At 35.8% G+C, this 18,739-nt stretch overlaps 1 long non-coding RNA gene across 1 annotated transcript in view; it reads left to right on the forward strand.

Annotated features, from left to right (window-relative positions):
* LINC02008 (long intergenic non-protein coding RNA 2008) overlaps window positions 1–18,739 on the forward strand; it is a 477,534-nt gene that overhangs the window by 182,880 nt on the left and 275,915 nt on the right. The window contains exon 2 of the long non-coding RNA NR_147146.1: window positions 16,331–16,432. This is a non-coding gene — a long non-coding RNA (long intergenic non-protein coding RNA 2008). The remainder of the gene's footprint in view (window positions 1–16,330; window positions 16,433–18,739) is intronic.

An 18,739-nucleotide genomic window follows, 5' to 3' on the forward strand; every position in this document is an offset into this window, starting at 1 on the left:
ACTTGATTAAAAATAGGCAGAGATCTGAACAGATATTTCTCAAAAGATGACATACAAATGGTCAACAGGTATAAGAAAAAATGTTCAACATAACTAATCATCAGGGAAATGCATATTAAAACCACAATAAGATATCGCCTCACACCTCTTTAGAATGGCTATTTTCCAAAAGAAAAAGATAACAAATATTGGAAAGGATGCAGAGAAAAGAAAACCCTGGCACATTGTTGGTGAAAATTAGTACAGCCATTATTGAAGACAGAATGTAAGTTTCTCAAAAAATTAAGCAGAACTACGAAATGATTTAGCAATCCCCCTGCTCAGTAGTTAATCATAGAAAATGAAATTAATATTTGAAGACATATCTGCATGTCTGTTGAAGCATTGTTCACAATAGCCAAGATATGCAAACAATCTAAGTGTCCATTAACAGAGGACTAGATGAAGAAAATGTGTTATATATACACAATGGAATACCATTCAGCCTTAAAAAAAAAAAAACAAATTGTATAGTGGTAACAATATGGATGAACCTGGAGGACTTTATGTTGGGCAAAATAAGCCAGTCACAAAAAGACAAATACCACATGATCTCACTTACACTTGGAATTCAAAAAGTTGAACTCATAGAAGCAGCGAGTACAATGATAGTTACCAAGGTTTGGGGCTGGGGCTGGGGAGGCCGCTGGGGAGATGTTTGTTAAAAGATACAAATTTGCAGTTAGGGAGAAAAAAGTAAGTTGGAAGAGATCCAATGTACAACACAATGACTATAGTTAATAAGGTATTCTTGAAATTGCTAACAGAGTAGATTTTAAGTATTCTTACCACAAAATAGAAGTATGTGAATTAATGCATATATTAATTGTCTTGCTTTAGCCACTCCATAGTGTATGCATATTTTAAAACAACATGTACATGAAAAACATATGCTGTTTGTATTTCTCAAGTAAGAAATAAATACATAATGTGGGAAACAAGCTTATAGAAAAATGTCACCACACCTGGGAGCAACAAGAACTCAATGAATATTCTTGCAATGACTTCATTCATTAACTTACTTGTCAAGAAGCTACATGTTATACTTTAATCCAGTAATCAAGTAACTAACATTTTTAGGCTTTCTGTGATTTGTTAATTAATGAATTAATAAATTAATTACATCTCAGTAATGAAAGGGCAAAACAGCTTTATGCACTCAGGCGAGTATGGACTTTGTAATACGTCAGATATGGACATATATCCTATTTCTAACCCTAATTTCCATATGACCTTGGGTAAAGGTAACCTGCTTACCTCCGTAAACCTGTTTCCTCATCAGCAAGTGCATTCAATTAATCTCATCTTGCATATTCTCATTTCATCTAGAAAATTTCAGAGATGTGTTTGGAAACTACCAGACCAATACAACACACAACAATACAGCAAGAGCATAGTTTTTTGCTTTTTTTTTTTTAATTATACTTTAGGTTTTAGGGTACATGTGCACAACGTGTAGGTGAGTTACCTATGTATACATGTGCCATGTTGGTGTGCTGCACCCATTAACTCATCATTTAACATTAGGTATATCTCCTAATGCTATCCCTCCCCACTCCCCGCACCCCACAACAGGCCCCGGTGTGTGATGTTCCCCTTCCTGTGTCCATGTGTTCTCATTGTTCAATTCCCACCTATAAGTGAGAACATGTGGTGTTTGGTTTCTTGTCCTTGCGATAGTTTGCTGAGAATGATTGTTTCCAGCTTCATCTGTGACCCTACAAAGAACATGAACTCATCATTTTTTATGGCTGCATAGTATTCCATGGTGTATATGTGCCACGTATTCTTAATCCAGTCTGTCATTGTTGGACATTTGTGTTGGTTCCAAGTCTTTGCTATTGTGAATAGTGCCACAATAAACATACGCGTGCGTGTGTCTTTATAGCAGCATGATTTAGAATCCTTTGGGTATATACCCAGTAATGGGATGGCTGGGTCAAATGGTATTTCTAGTTCTAGATCCCTGAGGAATGGCCACACTGGCTTCCACAATGGTTGAACTAGTTTACAGTCCCACAAACAGTGTAAAAGTGTTCCTATTTCTCCACATCCTCTCCAGCACCTGTTGTTTCCTGACTTTTTAATGATCGCTCTTCTAACTGGTGTGAGATGGTTGTGGTTTTCATTTGCATTTCTCTGATGGCCAGTGATGGTGAGCATTTTTTCATGTGTCTTTTGGCTGCATAAATGTCTTCTTTTGAGAAGTGTCTGTTCATATCCTTCACCCACTTTTTGATGGGGTTGTTTGTTTTTTTCTTGTAAATTTGTTTGAGTTCATTGTAGATTCTGGATATTAGCCCTTTTTCAGATGAGTAGATTGCAAAAATTTTCTCCCATTCTGTAGGTTGCCTGTTCACTCTGATGGTGGTTTCTTTTGCTGTGCAGAAGCTCTTTAGTTTAATTAGATCCCATTTGTCAATTTTAGCTTTTGTTGCCATTGCTTTTGGTGTTTTAGACATGAAGTCCTTGCCCATGTCTATGTCCTGAATGGTATTGCCTAGGTTTTCTTCTAGGGTTTTTATGGTTTTAGGTTTAACATTTAAGTCTTTAATCCACCTTGAATTAATTTTTGTATAAGATGTAAGGAAGGGATCCAGTTTCAGCTTTCTACATATGGCTAGCCAGTTTTCCCAGCACCATTTAGTAAATAGGGAATCCTTTCCCCATTTCTTGTTTTTGTCAGGTTTGTCAAAGATCAGATGGTTGTAGATATGCGGCATTATTTCTGAGGGCTCTGTTCTGTTCCATTGGTCTATATCTCTGTTTTGGTACCAGTATCATGCTGTTTTGGTTAATGTAGCCTTGTTGTATAGTTTGAAGTCAGGTAGCATGATGCCTCCAGCTTTGTTCTTTTGGCTTAGGATTGACTTGGCGATGTGGGCTCTTTTTTGGTTCCATTTGAACTTTAAAGTAGTTTTTTTCCAATTCTGTAAAGAAAGTCATTGGTAGCTTGATGGGGATGGCATTGAATCTATAAATTACCTTGGGCAGTATGGCCATTTTTACGATATTGATTCTTCCTATGTGTGAGCATGGAATGTTCTTCCATTTGTTTGTATCCTCTTTTATTTCATTGAGCAGTGGTTTGTAGTTCTCCTTGAGGTCCTTCATGTCCCTTGTAAGTTGGATTCCTAGGTATTTTATTCTCTTTGAAGCAATTGTGAATGGGAGTTCACTCATGATTTAGCTCTCTGTTTGTCTGCTATTGATGTATGAGAGTGCTTGTGATTTTTGCACAATTGATTTTGCATCCTGAGACTTTGCTGAAGTAGCCTATCAGCTTAAGGAGATTTTGGGCTGAGACGATGGGGTTTTCTAGATACACAATCATGTCATCTGCAAACAGGGACAATTTGACTTCCACTTTTCCTAATTCAATACTCTGTATTTCCTTCTCCTGCCTGATTGCCCTGGCCAGAACTTCCAACACTATATTGAATAGGAGTGGTGAGAGAGGGGCATCCCTGTCTTGTGCCAGTTTTCAAAGGGAATGCTTCCAGTTTTTGCCCATTCAGTATGATATTGGCTGTGGGTTTGTCATAGATAGCTCTTATTATTTTGAGATACGTCCCGTCAATACCTAATTTATTGAGAGTTTTTGGCATGAAGGGTTGTTGAATTTTGTCAAGGGCATTTTCTGCATCTATTGAGATAATCATGTGGTTTTTGTCATTGGTTCTGTTTCCATGCTGGATTACATTTATTGATTTGCATATGTTGAACCAGCCTTACATCCCAGGGATGAAGCCCACTTGATCATGGTGGATAAGCTTTTTGATGTGCTGCTGGATTTGGTTTGCCAGTATTTTATTGAGGATTTTTGCATCGATGTTCTTCAGGGATATTGGTCTAAAATTCTCTTTTTTTGTTGAGTCTCTGCCAGGCTTTGGTATCAAGATGATGCTGGCATCATAAAATGAATTAGGGAGGATTCCCTCTTCTTCTATTGATTGGAATAGTTTCAGAAGGAATGGTACCAGCTCTTCCTTGTACCTCTGGTAGAGTTCGGCTGTGAATCCATCTGGTCCTGGACTTTTTTTGGTTGGTAAGCTATTAATTATTGCCTGAATTTCAGAGCCTGTTATTGGTCTATTCAGAGATTCAACTTCTTCCTGGTTTAGTCTTGGGAGGGTGTATGTGTCAAGGAATTTATCCATTTCTTCTAGATTTTCTAGTTTATTTGCATAGAGGTGTTTCTAGTATTCTCTGATGGTAGTTTGTATTTCTGTGGGATCAGTGGTGATATCCCCTTTGTCATTTTTTATTGTGTCTATTTGATTCTTCTCTGTTTTCTTCTTTATTAGTCTTGCTAGAGGTCTATCAATTTTGTTGATCTTTTCAAAAAACCAGCTCCTGGATTCATTAATTTTTTGAAGGGTTTTTTTGTGTCTCTACTTCCTTCAGTTCTGCTCTCATCTTAGTTATTTCTTGCCTTCTGCTAACTTTTGAATGTGTTTGCTCTTGCTTTTCTAGTTCTTTTAATTGTGATGTTAGGGTGTCAGTTTTAGATCTTTCCTGCTTTCTCTTGTGGGCACTTACGGCTATGTTTTTTTGTTTTTGTTTTTGTTTTTTAAGACAGGGTCTCCCTCTCTCACTGAGGGTGGAGTGCAGTGGCGCGACCTCAGCTCACTGAAGCCTCCTCCTCCCAGGTTCAAGCAATTCTTGTGCCTCAGCCTGCTGAGTAGCTGGGCATACAGGTGCACGCCACCACACCCGGCTAATTTTTGTATTTTTAGTAGAGGCAGGGTTTCACCATTTTGGCCAGGCTGGTCTTGAACTCCTGACCTCAGGTGATCCGCCCACCTCAGCCTCCCAAACTGCTGGGATTACAGGCGTGAGCCACTGCACCAGGCCGAGCATAGATTTTAAACCAGGAGACATCTTAAAATGGCAGATTTCAAAACCTCCTTTCAGGACTCAGTGGCATCAGAGTCAGAATCTTTGTGAGTGGATCAAATATCTACATTGTTATTAAGCTGTCTGGCTTTGATCCGATGTACACAAGCCAAACATTTAAGCACAATTGCCTGGGATGAGGACATAGTATATACCTCATAGTCATTTTTTTTTTCTTTTTCTTTTTTGTGTTTTGAGATGGAGTCTCACTCTGTTGCCCAGGCTGGAGTGCAGTGGCGTGATTTTGGCTCACTGGAAGCGCCATCACCCAGATTCACGCCATTCTCCTGCCTCAGCCTCCCGAGTAGCTGGGACTACAGGCACCCATCACCACGCCTGGCTAATTTTTTTTTGTATTTTTAGTAGAGACGGGGTTTCACCGTGTTAGCCAGGCTGTTCTCGAACTCCTGACCTCGTGATCCGCCCGCCTCGGCCTCCCAAAGTGCTGAGATTACAGGTGTGAAGACACTGCGCCCAGCAATAGTCATTATTCAAAGTACTTTCAAACACATTCAATTCATTCAGTTCTTACAAGGCAGGGCGTCATGGATCCATTCATTCATTTATTAACCAGGCAGTGATTATCAGGCATCATGTTAGGTACTGAGTGGTAAAATGGGAAACAGGCCTAGGTGTTCCTTAGTCATGGAGTATATAATAAAACAAAGTTCATGATATTTATACACAATATGAATGTGCTTAATGCTGCTAAATGGTACACTTGGAAATAGTTAAAATAGTGAAGTGTATGTTATGCGTATCTTACCACAATAAAAAACAAAAAGTTGACCATATTTATTCTTTATAGCAATTATTCCTAATAGTAGATTATTCTAGGAGAAACATATGAAAATGTTAGTTTCAAGGGTTGGGAGATCACATAAGACTTAAAACGTCAAGTAGTCTCCACAAATTCTGAAATGTTTTCAAGGTATATAGCATTCCCTCAGCCATGAGGTAGTGACATGGAATACACCAGCTCTTTTACTGACTTGACCGACATCTATGTCAAATTATTTGATCTCTCTGATGTTTATCTTTCCTTATATAGATCAGCCTCAAGAGTTAACACATTAAAGTTAAGGAATGTCCAAGACAGCAAGAGACAACCTCAATGTCAAAGTGAGCCATAGTGGAGACAAATGGAGTCCACACAAAACCAATTATAAGTTAGTTCAAATGCTGCTAGTGGTCACTTCAGATATCTTAGCTTGGCTACTCTGTAATTAGTCACTGCTCTTCAGAGGACTTCATTATCTCTGGAGTATGCCACCACAGAAAAAGATACAAATATTTGCAATGTACCATAATTGATTTTAGATACTTTTATATGCATTACTTCATATACTTACCAATTTTTTTGTAGTGAGGACATTTAAAATTTACTCTCTTAGCAATTTTCAAGTACATACTATATTGTTATAAACCGTAATCACCGTGATGTTCAATAGATCTCTTGAACTTATTCCTCCTATCTAACAGAAATTTTGTGTCCTTCGACCTCAACATCCCCCCATTCCCTCCAGCTCTTGGCAGTCATCATTCTGGCCTCTACTTCTATAAGTTCAACTTTTTTAGATTCCCTATATACGTGAGATCATGTGGTATTTGTCTTTCTGTGCCGGTTTATTCCATTCAGCATAATGTCCTACAGGTTTATCCATGTTGTCACAAATGACAGGATTTTCTTCTTTCCTAAAGGCTGAATGGTATTCTATTGTGTATATATACAACATCTTCTTTATTCACTCATTGATAGACACATTTTTAATTGGTAGTATTAGTTTTGATGAGGTATAACTTCTAAATATATTCATTTTTAATTTCTTTCTGCACTTCCAAAATTTGTCCACCAGTGACATACCTAATTTTTGTAGTAGTAGTAGTAGTAGTAGTAGTAGTAGTGTTTCTGAATCTATATTTAAATGAAGCTATACAAAGCTTTCATTAGAAGATATAGTAACATAGAGACGAATCATTCTCCAACTTTGTTGTGCATGAGAAATGTTGGAATTAATTTTTTTTAAATTTCTAAGCCCAAATCCAAAAGATGCTTTTGCAACTATAGGTTGTAGATAAGGATATGTGGTTTTAACAAGGTTGTGGGCTGGGTGTGGTGGTTCACGCTTGTAATCCTAGCACTTTGTGAGGCTGAGCCAGGCAGATCACTTGACGTCAGGAGTTCAAGACCAGCCTGGCCAACATGGTGAAACCCCGTCTCTACAAAATATAAAAACATTAACCGGGCATGGTGGTGGACACCTGTATTTTCAGCTACTCAGGAGGCTGAGGCAGGAGAACCGCTTGAATCTGGGAGGCAGAAGTTGCAGTGAGCAGAGATTGAGCCACTGCACTCTAGCCTGAGCAACAGAGCAAGACTCCATCTCAAAAACAAAAGCAACAACAACAACAAAATAAGGTTGTGAAGTAAGTTGTTCAAATAAACACTCCAATTAAACTCCCATTCTTACCCTCTCTCACCAGTATATTAATATTAGATGTCGGCAGGTCCGTGGAAAAAGATACATTGCTTCTTTTTTCACCTCATAATTATATAGTTTTCTTGCTTATATATAAGTAGAAGGGCAAATGACAACTCAAAGAATAAAATACACCATTCTTTCTAGTCTTTCTCATACTGTTTTTACACTAATAACAAATGTTTATATAGCAAGCATTGTCTTTACTTATTGATAAGTAGTTTTACTTTCTCTATTTTAATACAGAAAATTAATAGAGAATTAATAGAGAAAATCTTCAGATTCTTTGCACTTATGAGTGTGTATATATGTGTATTTATATAAGAATACAATTCAATTTAAATTACTGATTATAATTTGAAAAAACTTCAGTGTTTTTGAATTTCTCTGATGTTGCTGACGATTTGTAAAAAAAATTATTTATAGCCTATGATAAGATGTTACTTTTGAAGTATGGTGTCTTCCTGCTTTCCACACACTTATAAAAAAGCTGTTAAAACCAAACCATGTTAGTTATAAATATTTATAAAGCAAAATCCTATCATGAGTTTAAAACCACATGTCAGTTTTTCACTACTCTGTAACAGTGATTAATATGAACTAAGTGGAAGCTGCCATTTTACTGATTCTTCAATTTAATTATTTATGATTAGAAGTGAACAGAGATCGAGATGTGCTCTTGAAAGTAATTCCTCTCATAGGATACTCATGTCTTTGACTTAGATATTTTTAGTTCACTTCCAGTATGCCTAATGCTTTCTTCACTATTTTTCTTCAGACTGTGAAATTATTTTTAAAATAGCTCTTCTTCAAAAGAACTAGCAACAACCAACAGTATTCACTATTATTCATCCAAAATGTTAGAGTCATGCAATAACAAAGGCAAATACGGGGTACCTATTTGTAAATCAACAGGCGGTTTTCCTCATACTTAGAAATCAGTTGGGAATTTAGGGGGAAAGAGGCAACATCAAATTAGACTGCAAGATTGGCAGCAAGAAATGGGTCCTACTTTCCGTGCTCTTTCTTCAATTCTTTCACAAGTGCCCTTGCTTTTGAAAAGAAGGAAACTGAATTAAACCCTCAGGCTGTTTCTTAAATTAATGGAGAAATTCCCCCCTCCTATTTCTTCTACCATTTTGAACTTTCCTTAGAGGCCCACTCTGAGGGATGCCCTGATTCAGTGGAACTAAACTGAATTTAAAAGGCATAGTTATCTAAGCTCTCTTTCTAGCATGAAAATTAATTAGCAGTGCCCTGATGTAGCAAAAACAGGGATCTTGTTTTAGCAGTATTTGGGAAAATTGCAGTCATTTACCATGATTGACCTCTGCTCAGTGTTTCAATTAGCAATTGCCTGCTCTCTTTTATTGATAATTCCTCAATTTTCCTCACTTTGCTCATTGTTTAATAGTGAATTCTCATTGATGGGATATCCTTTTATTAAAGAGTTTTCCCCCAAGTCTTGACCCTATGACAATACCTCTTTAGGACCACAGTTTATTGTGTACTATTTATGTTAAAGCTGAAAAAAATGCTGAGTTGTCCTTTCTTGAGGTTGAGGCTGGATAAACTCTGTGGACTCTGATTGTGGATCTCTTATCAGAGTGCCTCCTAATCCCTACCTAATGCTTTGGTACTGTTTTAGATCCCAGAATCTTAGAGTAATCACAGAGTGGGTAAGAGGTGATGTTAATATGAGAATAAGATTCAGTTTTTCCATCAGATACACAGAATGTATGTACAGAGTCAAAAATTAATTTCCATTATAGAAAAATGAAGATTATGTTATTTCTTAACATCTGATTTTGTGGTCTGGGCTTCATTCCTGCAATAAACCTGACAAGTTAAAGTGAGTCTTTTATAGTTTAGTGCTTTTCTTCATCTACACTTCAGCAATATTAACTATTTAATTAAACGAATGCAGCTTCCAAAAAGACCACACAAAACAAAACACTAATTACGAAGATATGAAGACTTGAAAGAAAAGGATAAATAGAGGTATATATAATAACTTTATCCTACTGTATTTGAAGAAGTGTTGCGAAAGAGTTACTGGTCATCATTAGCTTTGTTTCATTTCTAGGTTCTAGAGAATAGAGAGTTAATTTTAAGCCAGGCTTTGATTGTAGCCAAGTCAAGTATTATAAATACATTTCACTTTCTTTTTTGAATATACTAATAAATTGGCTTATGAAGGATGGAACTAAGATAAGGAGAATGAGTTTCCTAAGATGCAGACTTTAAGTGGGGGCTAACTTTCAGGGTTATGGAAATACTGACCGTGCATGCGTTTGTATTACCTTGAGAGTGTGTGTCTCCTTAAATTTTGCCTCCTAAGTTTCTCATCCTCTCACCCTGGTCTTAGCTGTTTGACTTTTAATATTTGTATTATTGTTAAAATACCAGGTAATGTAGAAACAGACTTGCTTTTGAAATGAGGCTAATACATTAATGTTAGCATTAGAACACATTGCTCATATAAACAAATTGCTACGTTGCTGTTCATTCTTTTACTGTTAGTATTTGTCTTTATCATGAGTTGTGGCTTTTGATGCTATAATATTGGCTTCATTTATGTTACAACTAGTCCAGTGTAGATTTTTCAGAAAAATAAATATTTAAAGATCTGCTTTTCCTCTGACTATTTTTAAATTGAAACCCCAGAACACTTGATCCAAAAATGTTTTAAATGCAAGCTGAGAGTTCACTTACTTGGTGCATGGTTTGTAAGTCTTACAGACTCCCTGCAATGTGAAACATCTCTAGTGCTGAACACCACTGACTTGTGCTATACAGAAGAGTTCTGTAACAGTAAACTTGTCTTAGAATGAACATATCCTGAAGACTTAATTCTACCTTAAAAAACAAAATAGGGTCATAAGACCACATTATTCTGAGATGAATAGTCATTTAAACAAAACAGAACAAAACAAAACTCTAAGGCTAAAGAACAGAAACTCTGGTAAAGGTCAAGGCAAGGAAGCTGGCCCGAGCACTTCAGCATGAGAGTGAAATCCTCCCATCTCCAGAGTTCTCGTTAGGGCTGAGTGAGCCACGAGGCACAGTGGGCATGGTGCCTAGGGCCCACAAAACTGTTAAGTACAAACAAAACATATTTTAAGTTTATTTTAAAATCACAAGAAAAAATGAATCTAACCCAGCTGCATATCTTTATAATAACACAGTTGTAAAATATAATTACTTAATATATATTTTTAATATAAGAAGAGGACCACAGAAGCAAACTTTCCTATGGCCAATGAAAGTCATAATGTCGCTGTGCCCATTGTCTCTGGAAAAGATTCATAATCCTGGAAAGAAGCATTGATAGTCTAGTTTAGGTCACAAGTCCACCTGCTTGACTCAGTGCTGCTAGAATTTGAATAGAGGAACAGATTAATAAATGGGGTAAGTGCCTGATGGCTAAAAAAAAAAAAAAAAACCAACAAAACAACAAATGTCTATTTCATATGGGTGGCTAGGCATTATGAATTTTAATAATGGGTGTTCATTTACATTGACGTTTAAGGAATCATTGTATGAAAACTGCCAATTCCTTTCAACATCAGTCTCCTGGTGAAAAGGTGGTGCAAATAGATATGTCAGATATGTATGCCTCATCTAGATAGTGAAAAATACTGACAGACCAGTTTTCCATCCACCAATTTGTCCTTCCATATTTAATGCCAAATGTAATTGTAATGATTTTTTAATGGTATAATGTTCCCACCTCTCCCTAAACATCTTCTCTATGTAAGGTTAGGTTTTGTGAGATGTATTAGTTTGTTAGGTAGGGCTGCTGTGGCAAAATACAACAGATTGGGTGACTTAAATATGAAAAAAATATTTTCTTACAGTTTTGGAGGCTGGAAGTTCAAGATCAAGGTGTAGGCAGGGTTTCTTTCTTCGCACTGTGTCTTCATGTGGTCTTCCCTCTGTGCATGTCTATGACCAAAATGTCCGAATTTCCTCTTTTTATAAGGACACTAGTCATATTGGATTAGGGCCCAATCTAATGACTGCTCTCAAACTTAGTTGCCTCGTTTTTTCTTATAATTTTTTTATTTGTACAGATGGGATCTCAGTATGTTGCCCATGCTGGTCCTGAATGCTTGGGCTCAAGCGATCTTCTCAACTTGGCCTCCCAAAGAGCTGGGATTTCAGGTGTGACCCACCACACTCAGCCTTAATTGCCTCCTTAAAGACCCTATCTCCAAGTACAGTCACATTCTGAGAGTTAGTAATTCAACATATGAATTTTGGGGGGATACAATTCATCTCATATCATAAAGTAATAAAAATAGATTAAGCATGCAGTTCTATGTAAATATGTTTAAGTTATTATTACTACAGGTTTTATTATTTAATATAAGGCATGCCTTAATATGAACTATGCAGCTGGAACAATGGAGGGTCATGAAGATATAAACTTGTGTCACTTAAGTCCAGAGGGCATTGGGCCACTATGACATACACAGGTTGAAGAACATAAACTTTTTTGTGATAAAGCCAAGAAAAACGTTTCCTATAAAGCAGTATTTCTAATACTGTGAACCTTATATCACCTAGAATAGAATCACCTAGGGTGCTATTTATTGGCTTCACCTCAGTTCCACTGACACAGAACCTCTGGAGGTGGGGACTCAATCATCTGAACTTTAATAAAGCTTTCCAGGTGATGGTGGTACATAGTGAAGTTTGAGAACTGCTCTGGAGTCAGGTGGTATTTTTTGTCTTTTACTTTTTAATTTAATATATTTCAGATTCACAGAATTGGCATAATGATAGTCAGTAGACTTTATTATCATTTCTCAGTGGGCTGTATCTATCTATCTATCTATCTATCTATCTATCATCTATCCACATCTATCATCTAAAATATACTGAATGTCATTGAACTAACCAAAGAACTAATATAATACATTGATCATAACTGATATTTACTAATATGTTTTATTATAACTTATATTTACTAATATGTTCTCCCCATGCCATCCCCCAACCCCCCTCTATAATGACCACTATCTGAATTTGTGCGTATTTTTCTCTATCTCAAAAAAGTACATATATATAAAAATCTACATAATACATTTCTGTATATACATATATATATAGACACATGTGTCTATATCTCCACATCTGTCTATCTATAGTTTTAACTGTTTTGAACTTTTAAAAAAGGGTAGTAGGTTGTTCATAGTCTTCTAATATTGTGTTCACCTCCTCCTCCCCACTGACAGCATTGTACATTAAATTTCATCTAAGTTATTCCAAGTAGCTTTATAATTTGTCTGTTTTCACTGTTGCAGGTATATATGTTCATTGACACTATTACAGAATTTTCATTTTTTGAGACGTGGTCTTGCTGTGTTGCCCAGGCTGGTCTTGAACTCCTGGGCTCAAGCAATCCTCCTGCCTTGGCCTCACAAAGTGCTGGGATTACAGGCATGTGCCACCACACCTGGGTTGCACTATTATAGAATTATAGTGCATGGATATATCACATTTAATTATTCATCTCCTTTTCAGTTGGGTTAATTTCTCATATTTCCCTATTATAAATAACCTTGCTAGTAATATTCATGTATATGCGTCCAAGTTCACAAATGTGAGGCATATCGTTGGATAATGCCTAGCAGTATAAATGTTGAATAGTTTGATATGAGAATAACTTTAAATGATATTGCCAAATTATTTTTCAGAGTCATTTTAACTTTATGTTCTGATCAATGACACTAAAACTATCTTCTCTAGCACATGATGTGATCAGGGCTCTTAAATTTTGTCAGTGGGTGGATATAAAATGGTATCTTGTGGTCTTGATTCGCATTTCCTTAACCACAAAGAGGTTGAGCCCGTCTTCATATTCTTACTGGTAATTATGTGTTTCCTCTTCTCTGTAATACCTGTTTGTGTCTTTTGCCCATTTTTCTGTTTGTGTCTGTTTTGCCTATTAAGTTGTTTATCCTTTCCTTTTTATTTTTTAGAAGTGATTCTTTGCTTTAATATATCCTTGGTCCTTTTCTCCTAACAGTTTTTACTTTGTTTTCCCTTACCTTATGTGCCTTTTGAAAAATCAAAATTCTTCATTTTAATAGAGTCGGTTTTATCAATCATGTCTTCTAGCTAGCATTTTTTTTGTCTTGTTTTAGGAAATGATCTTTATCCCAAGGTCAGAAAAGTATTAATCTATATTTTTGACTAAATGTTTAAAGCGTTGTTTTTGATATTTATGTTTGTAATCTATCTGAGTTTGCTGGAGTGAAAGGCATTAGGTAAGGATCTAGTTTCCTACAATTTTTTTACCTATAGATGGTCGTTTTTCTTTGGTTTTATTAATTGATTTTTTTTTTCATTTTGAACTGATCTTGCATACCACTCTTGTCATATATCAAGTTTTCATATATGCATATCCGTCTAAACTCTTTATTACGTTTAATCTGTTAATTTATAAAACTCCAATACAATGCTACTCCTATCATATTTATTATAGCCTCATAATAAGTCCTGCTACCTGGTAGGGTAAATCCTCACTCTTTATTCTTTTACTGCAAAAATATCTTGGTTATTCTTGGCCGTTTAATCTTCCATATAAATTTTAAAACCAGACTGTCAGGTTTTATTAAAAAAAACCTTATCTGTATCGAGTGACTTAAAAAAAATTCATTTACTCTGTGGACTCACCAGAATGACAGAGAAAAGGAAACAGAACTATTAGTCTGGCCTTGAAAGCTATTATATCAGAATCACTTAATGTTTACATATATTTAATTAAAAATATATGTTTAAATAGTATTTAATTTGGGATTTAAAATTTTATGTTTGCTTAGGGCATTGAAGAAAAGGATTGTAATCTAAAGTTTGTGTTTTTTTCATATCATCATGGTTTGCATATTGGGAGGATTTAGAGTGATGTTATTTCAGCTTCACTTTTACAGTTAGTTGCAATGTACTATTTGGTTTCTTCATGCCTTTTTATTTTATAGATATTCAAGCAGAAATTACTATGCTTTTCATTATAAGGTGGTTTATTTACTACTAATTAAAAATAAATGAACCCTCTTTCACAAATTTTAAAATTTTGTTATTGGGATAAATACAAATTGATTTAATATTCCTCTTGATAATAATAAAATGGCACACATCACCCCATCCTTATCCCTGTAAGAAAAATAACTTTCAAACATAATGTGTAACCTGGATAAGCACACATAATATGGCAATTACAATATGACTCCATTCTCCCCTTACCTCATATATTCACTGATAGTAAGTTAGGTAGCATATAAATCTGCAGCAGCAATTTACAGAATAGAAACCTGGTGATCAAAAGGAGTTTGTGTGGTTTCTTAAAGTATGTTATTTATTCATGACACATAGCTTAGAAAGTGATAGAATTTAGCATAGTGCATATGTCTGCTACTTCATTGTATTTGTGTTAGCAAAAAGTTTTTTTTATTTTATTTTTTCCCCTAGTTCAAATTTGCTCAAGGACATAGAATGTGAGGACGTTTAGTATTCAGGTGCAGTGTACTCTGTTCTGTTAATTCCTTTTATGTGGAGAAGCTGGAATGTGAAAAGGTTGTAAAACAAGGAAACAAACTCAAATGGTTATTTCTTCTTTTAGTCTAAGTCCATTATAATACAGTGCCAATAAACATGGTGGCTAAGATATATGAGTGTGAACCACCCTATTTGTGTCTGAAATTCACTAAGACCGTGATTCTAATTTACGTTAGATGAAAAGGTATTTACAAAGCACAAAACAAAAGATATAATTGAATAAATGTGCAATTTCTATTCTTCTGTTCTAACCACATTCTTTGCAGTGAGCTTTGCTTGGGTTTAAGCTTTTACCTTGAACTGAAATCAGAAGAAATTGAATTCTAAGGCTTGAGAACTCCTCACTGAAAAATCAGTAAACTGAAGGGAGGGAGAAAGGCAAACTTCATAATTGAGAAAAATTAAAATCTTCTCTGTAAGTGAGGTTATATATACAAGATTAGACCACACAGAAACAACAACTGAAATGAAAGTGTGAGTCAATGGCACACAAGACATACTGCAGGACAAATTATGTTTCCAATACAGATGAAATCAATTTCATGCACAATTTATTAGTGCTGTCACGGATGGTCTGTCCTAAGACAGGATCTAGGTGAATTGAGTTATTTACCTACAACAGTAGCAAGTGGTCTTTTAGAGAAATGTTTTTTTGAACTTCTTCGCTCCCTAGGGTGCTTGTTAAAAAAAAAAATACAGATTGCTTTGCCTTACTTCAGATCTACTGATTCAGAATTTACTCTGCAGGAACTTGGAAATCTGTATTCATTATCAGTTAATTTATGAAAACACTGCCTTAGAGGAAGGTCATGTATGAACCAGGAGAACCCTAGTCAAGTGTGTTTGTGTGTTTGTGTGTGTATGTTGGGATGGGGGGTTACTTTACAGAAAGTAATTTTTTTTTTTTTTTAGACACAGTCTTGCTCTGTTGCCCAGGCTGGAGCGCAGTGGTGCCATCTCGGCTCACTGCAACCTCTGCCTCCTGGGCTCAAGTAGTCATCCCACCTCAGCCTCCCAAGTAGCTGGGATTACAGATGTGTGCCACCACACCCAGCTAAGTTTTATATTTTTAAAGGAGACAAGATTTCCCCATGTTGGCCAGGCTGGTCTCGAACTCCTGACCTCATGTGATCTGCTCACCTCAGCCTCACAAAATACTGGGATTACAGGCGTGAGCCACTGCACCCAGCCTAAAAATTTAATTTTTAAGATTGTATCTCCCTAAAAATGCACCAGCCTGAATAGAAAGATCTAGTTAATATTCAGTTGATTTCATTATTTTCCTATTAGGTATAATTATGACTTCGACCTTTGTTTTTTATTTTATTTTATTTTATTTTTGTCAGGAAAACGCCTATTTTGGAGTGAAACCAGGGCCGCCTTATGAGCTAAACAGAGTGTGTTACAGCTTCAATAGACTAAACAAGCTCTAAATTTATCTTCCTATGGTAAGTAGAAAATGATAATTTAAAAATGTGCTTTTTATTTATCTCCATTAAGCCAACATGAAGAAAATTTAACATCTGATTTTTTTGTTAGTACATAGAATAGAAAGTTGTTTAAAGCAACAACAAAAGCCAACCAGACAATTTTGGATCAATAAATTTAGAATGTGTTCTTACAGCTAAAACTTTATAAAGAGAATTTCAACTTAGATATTCAAGAATGACTCCAACATATTTTCCTTTGAAATTAGAGCATTTTGCATATGTAGCTTGCCAGGGAACTTTTGGTTTCTAAAAGAAGTGGTTTCTTTTTACAGCAAGATACCCATTTTTCTAGTAGGAAGACAGGTTCAAAGAGATTCAGGAACTTGCTTGGAGGTGCACATCAGTCACTGGAAAAGTCAGAAATCAGTGAAGAATTCCTTACTGACCACCCAGCCTCTTGTGGAAATGTGTTTGTTGCCCGTGCACTTTCTGAGACAACTTAGCCCTCGAGAATTCCACATTTCTTGTTTTGTTGTCCAGAGTAGCCTTCCTTTCAGCATTGCAAGTGTCAAAATTGTTTCTGTCGATGATTAGGCAAAATAAATGCTTTTTCCTTTACGATTTAATCTTCGTGGAGCCTTTTCACAGGAGCCAATGTGGGGGCAGATGCTCCATAGCGCAAGCCTCATCTTTTCCTCCTCCTGTGACCACCCGCTTCCTGCCTCAGCAGTTAGATCCACCTCACAGTCCAGCTGCTTCCTCAGTTCCAGGCCCCATGGCTCCCTCAGTTATGGCACAAGTGCTGTGTGAGCAGTGACCCTGGTGGCCTCCCTGTCATCGTCCAGCTGCCTTTAGCCTGAGCACTGACTTTAACAGATTCCCCTCACATGTCCACTGTCAGCCTCATGCCAGACTTCACAACTTCCCTCGTCCATTTTGTTACCCTCCTGCTTCCTCTGTGAGGAACTTTGGAGATTCACAGCCCCGTCTGTCCACCAATGCCTCAGAGATGAGCTGTGTAGGAGGTAGGGCTGCCCACCTCCTTGGAGCTGCCCACTCTCATCTCTGAGGAGAAAGTGAAGTTTAGAATGCTTCTCCAAGATACAGTTGACAATGTTGCTCAACTACGCTTCAAATTAATTTGAATTTTATGAAAATAAGCATAAAAAATATGACTACATCATACTGAAGTCTGATGCAAAGTTTCTCTCTCAGCAAGCTTAAAAGCCAAGCATCATCAGAGATAGGTAGCATAATTACAGTAGAAAAGATGCCAACATATGAATGAAAATATGCCAGGGTACTGGATCCCTAATTTTTTCTTGACATTATCAGTGTTTCTAGCCTCCAGAAGTCTCTTTGCTCACCTGGGTCTTAAATACCTTATTAATAAAATGTAAATTGCAAAATTTAACCTGCCTGAGGACCAGGACTTTAGTCAGGTATAATTTTAAATTAAATACATTTCATCATAAAAATAATACTAAAAATTTAACATTTAACAAAATTTGACCTTTAAACTTTGTTTAAAAGATAACATTTTATGTTTTTTAGTAACATAGGAACAACAATATTTTGAAAAAATATAAAACAAGAAGCAAATCTCTTAATAAGACTGCTGGCATTTTTAAGGATTTCTTTTTGTGGGTACACAGGCATATATTTCTTCTTTCTCTTTCCTTCTCTTTACCTCTCTCACACACAAAATTGTGTATTTTTAATTCTTCACTTTTTTTTACTCAAATTACATGATAATATATATTATAATATAAATTAAATTTTATTATAAGAATAGTTTTTTGTTTTTATATTAGTTTTAAATGTTTATATTATACCCTATAATTCTCTCATCTTTTGACTCACACTTTTTTGCAAATAAAATTTTAATGATAGACATTTATTAAATGTTTCTTATGTCAAAATTATTTTCCATATACAGATGCTTCTCAACTTACAATGGGTTTATGTCCCAATAAATCCATCCTAAAGTAGGAAAATTGTAAGTTGAACCATGGTAAGTCGGGAACGGTGTTGTGGTATTTTATTTGGTGAACATTTAAATTGCTTAAATCTTGTTTTATTTCCAAAAGTTTTAAAATAAAATAGCTTTCAAACAATATAAAATAAGAAGATGAAAATATCGCCTGACAATATCAAAGTAATGAAAAATAAGCAGAGAAAAAATAAACTGAAACAAGAATTATGAAATACATGCTGTTAAGTTTTATGCATTCATTAGAGATGTGCATCAAATTACATTTTGGATTTTTAACAGCCAAATTGAGGAGAAGGGGTGTTGGCTAGCATAAAGGTATAATTATTTAC

This window comes from Homo sapiens, chromosome 3, assembly GCF_000001405.40.
Source record: "Homo sapiens chromosome 3, GRCh38.p14 Primary Assembly".
NCBI classification, from domain to species: domain Eukaryota; kingdom Metazoa; phylum Chordata; class Mammalia; order Primates; family Hominidae; genus Homo; species Homo sapiens.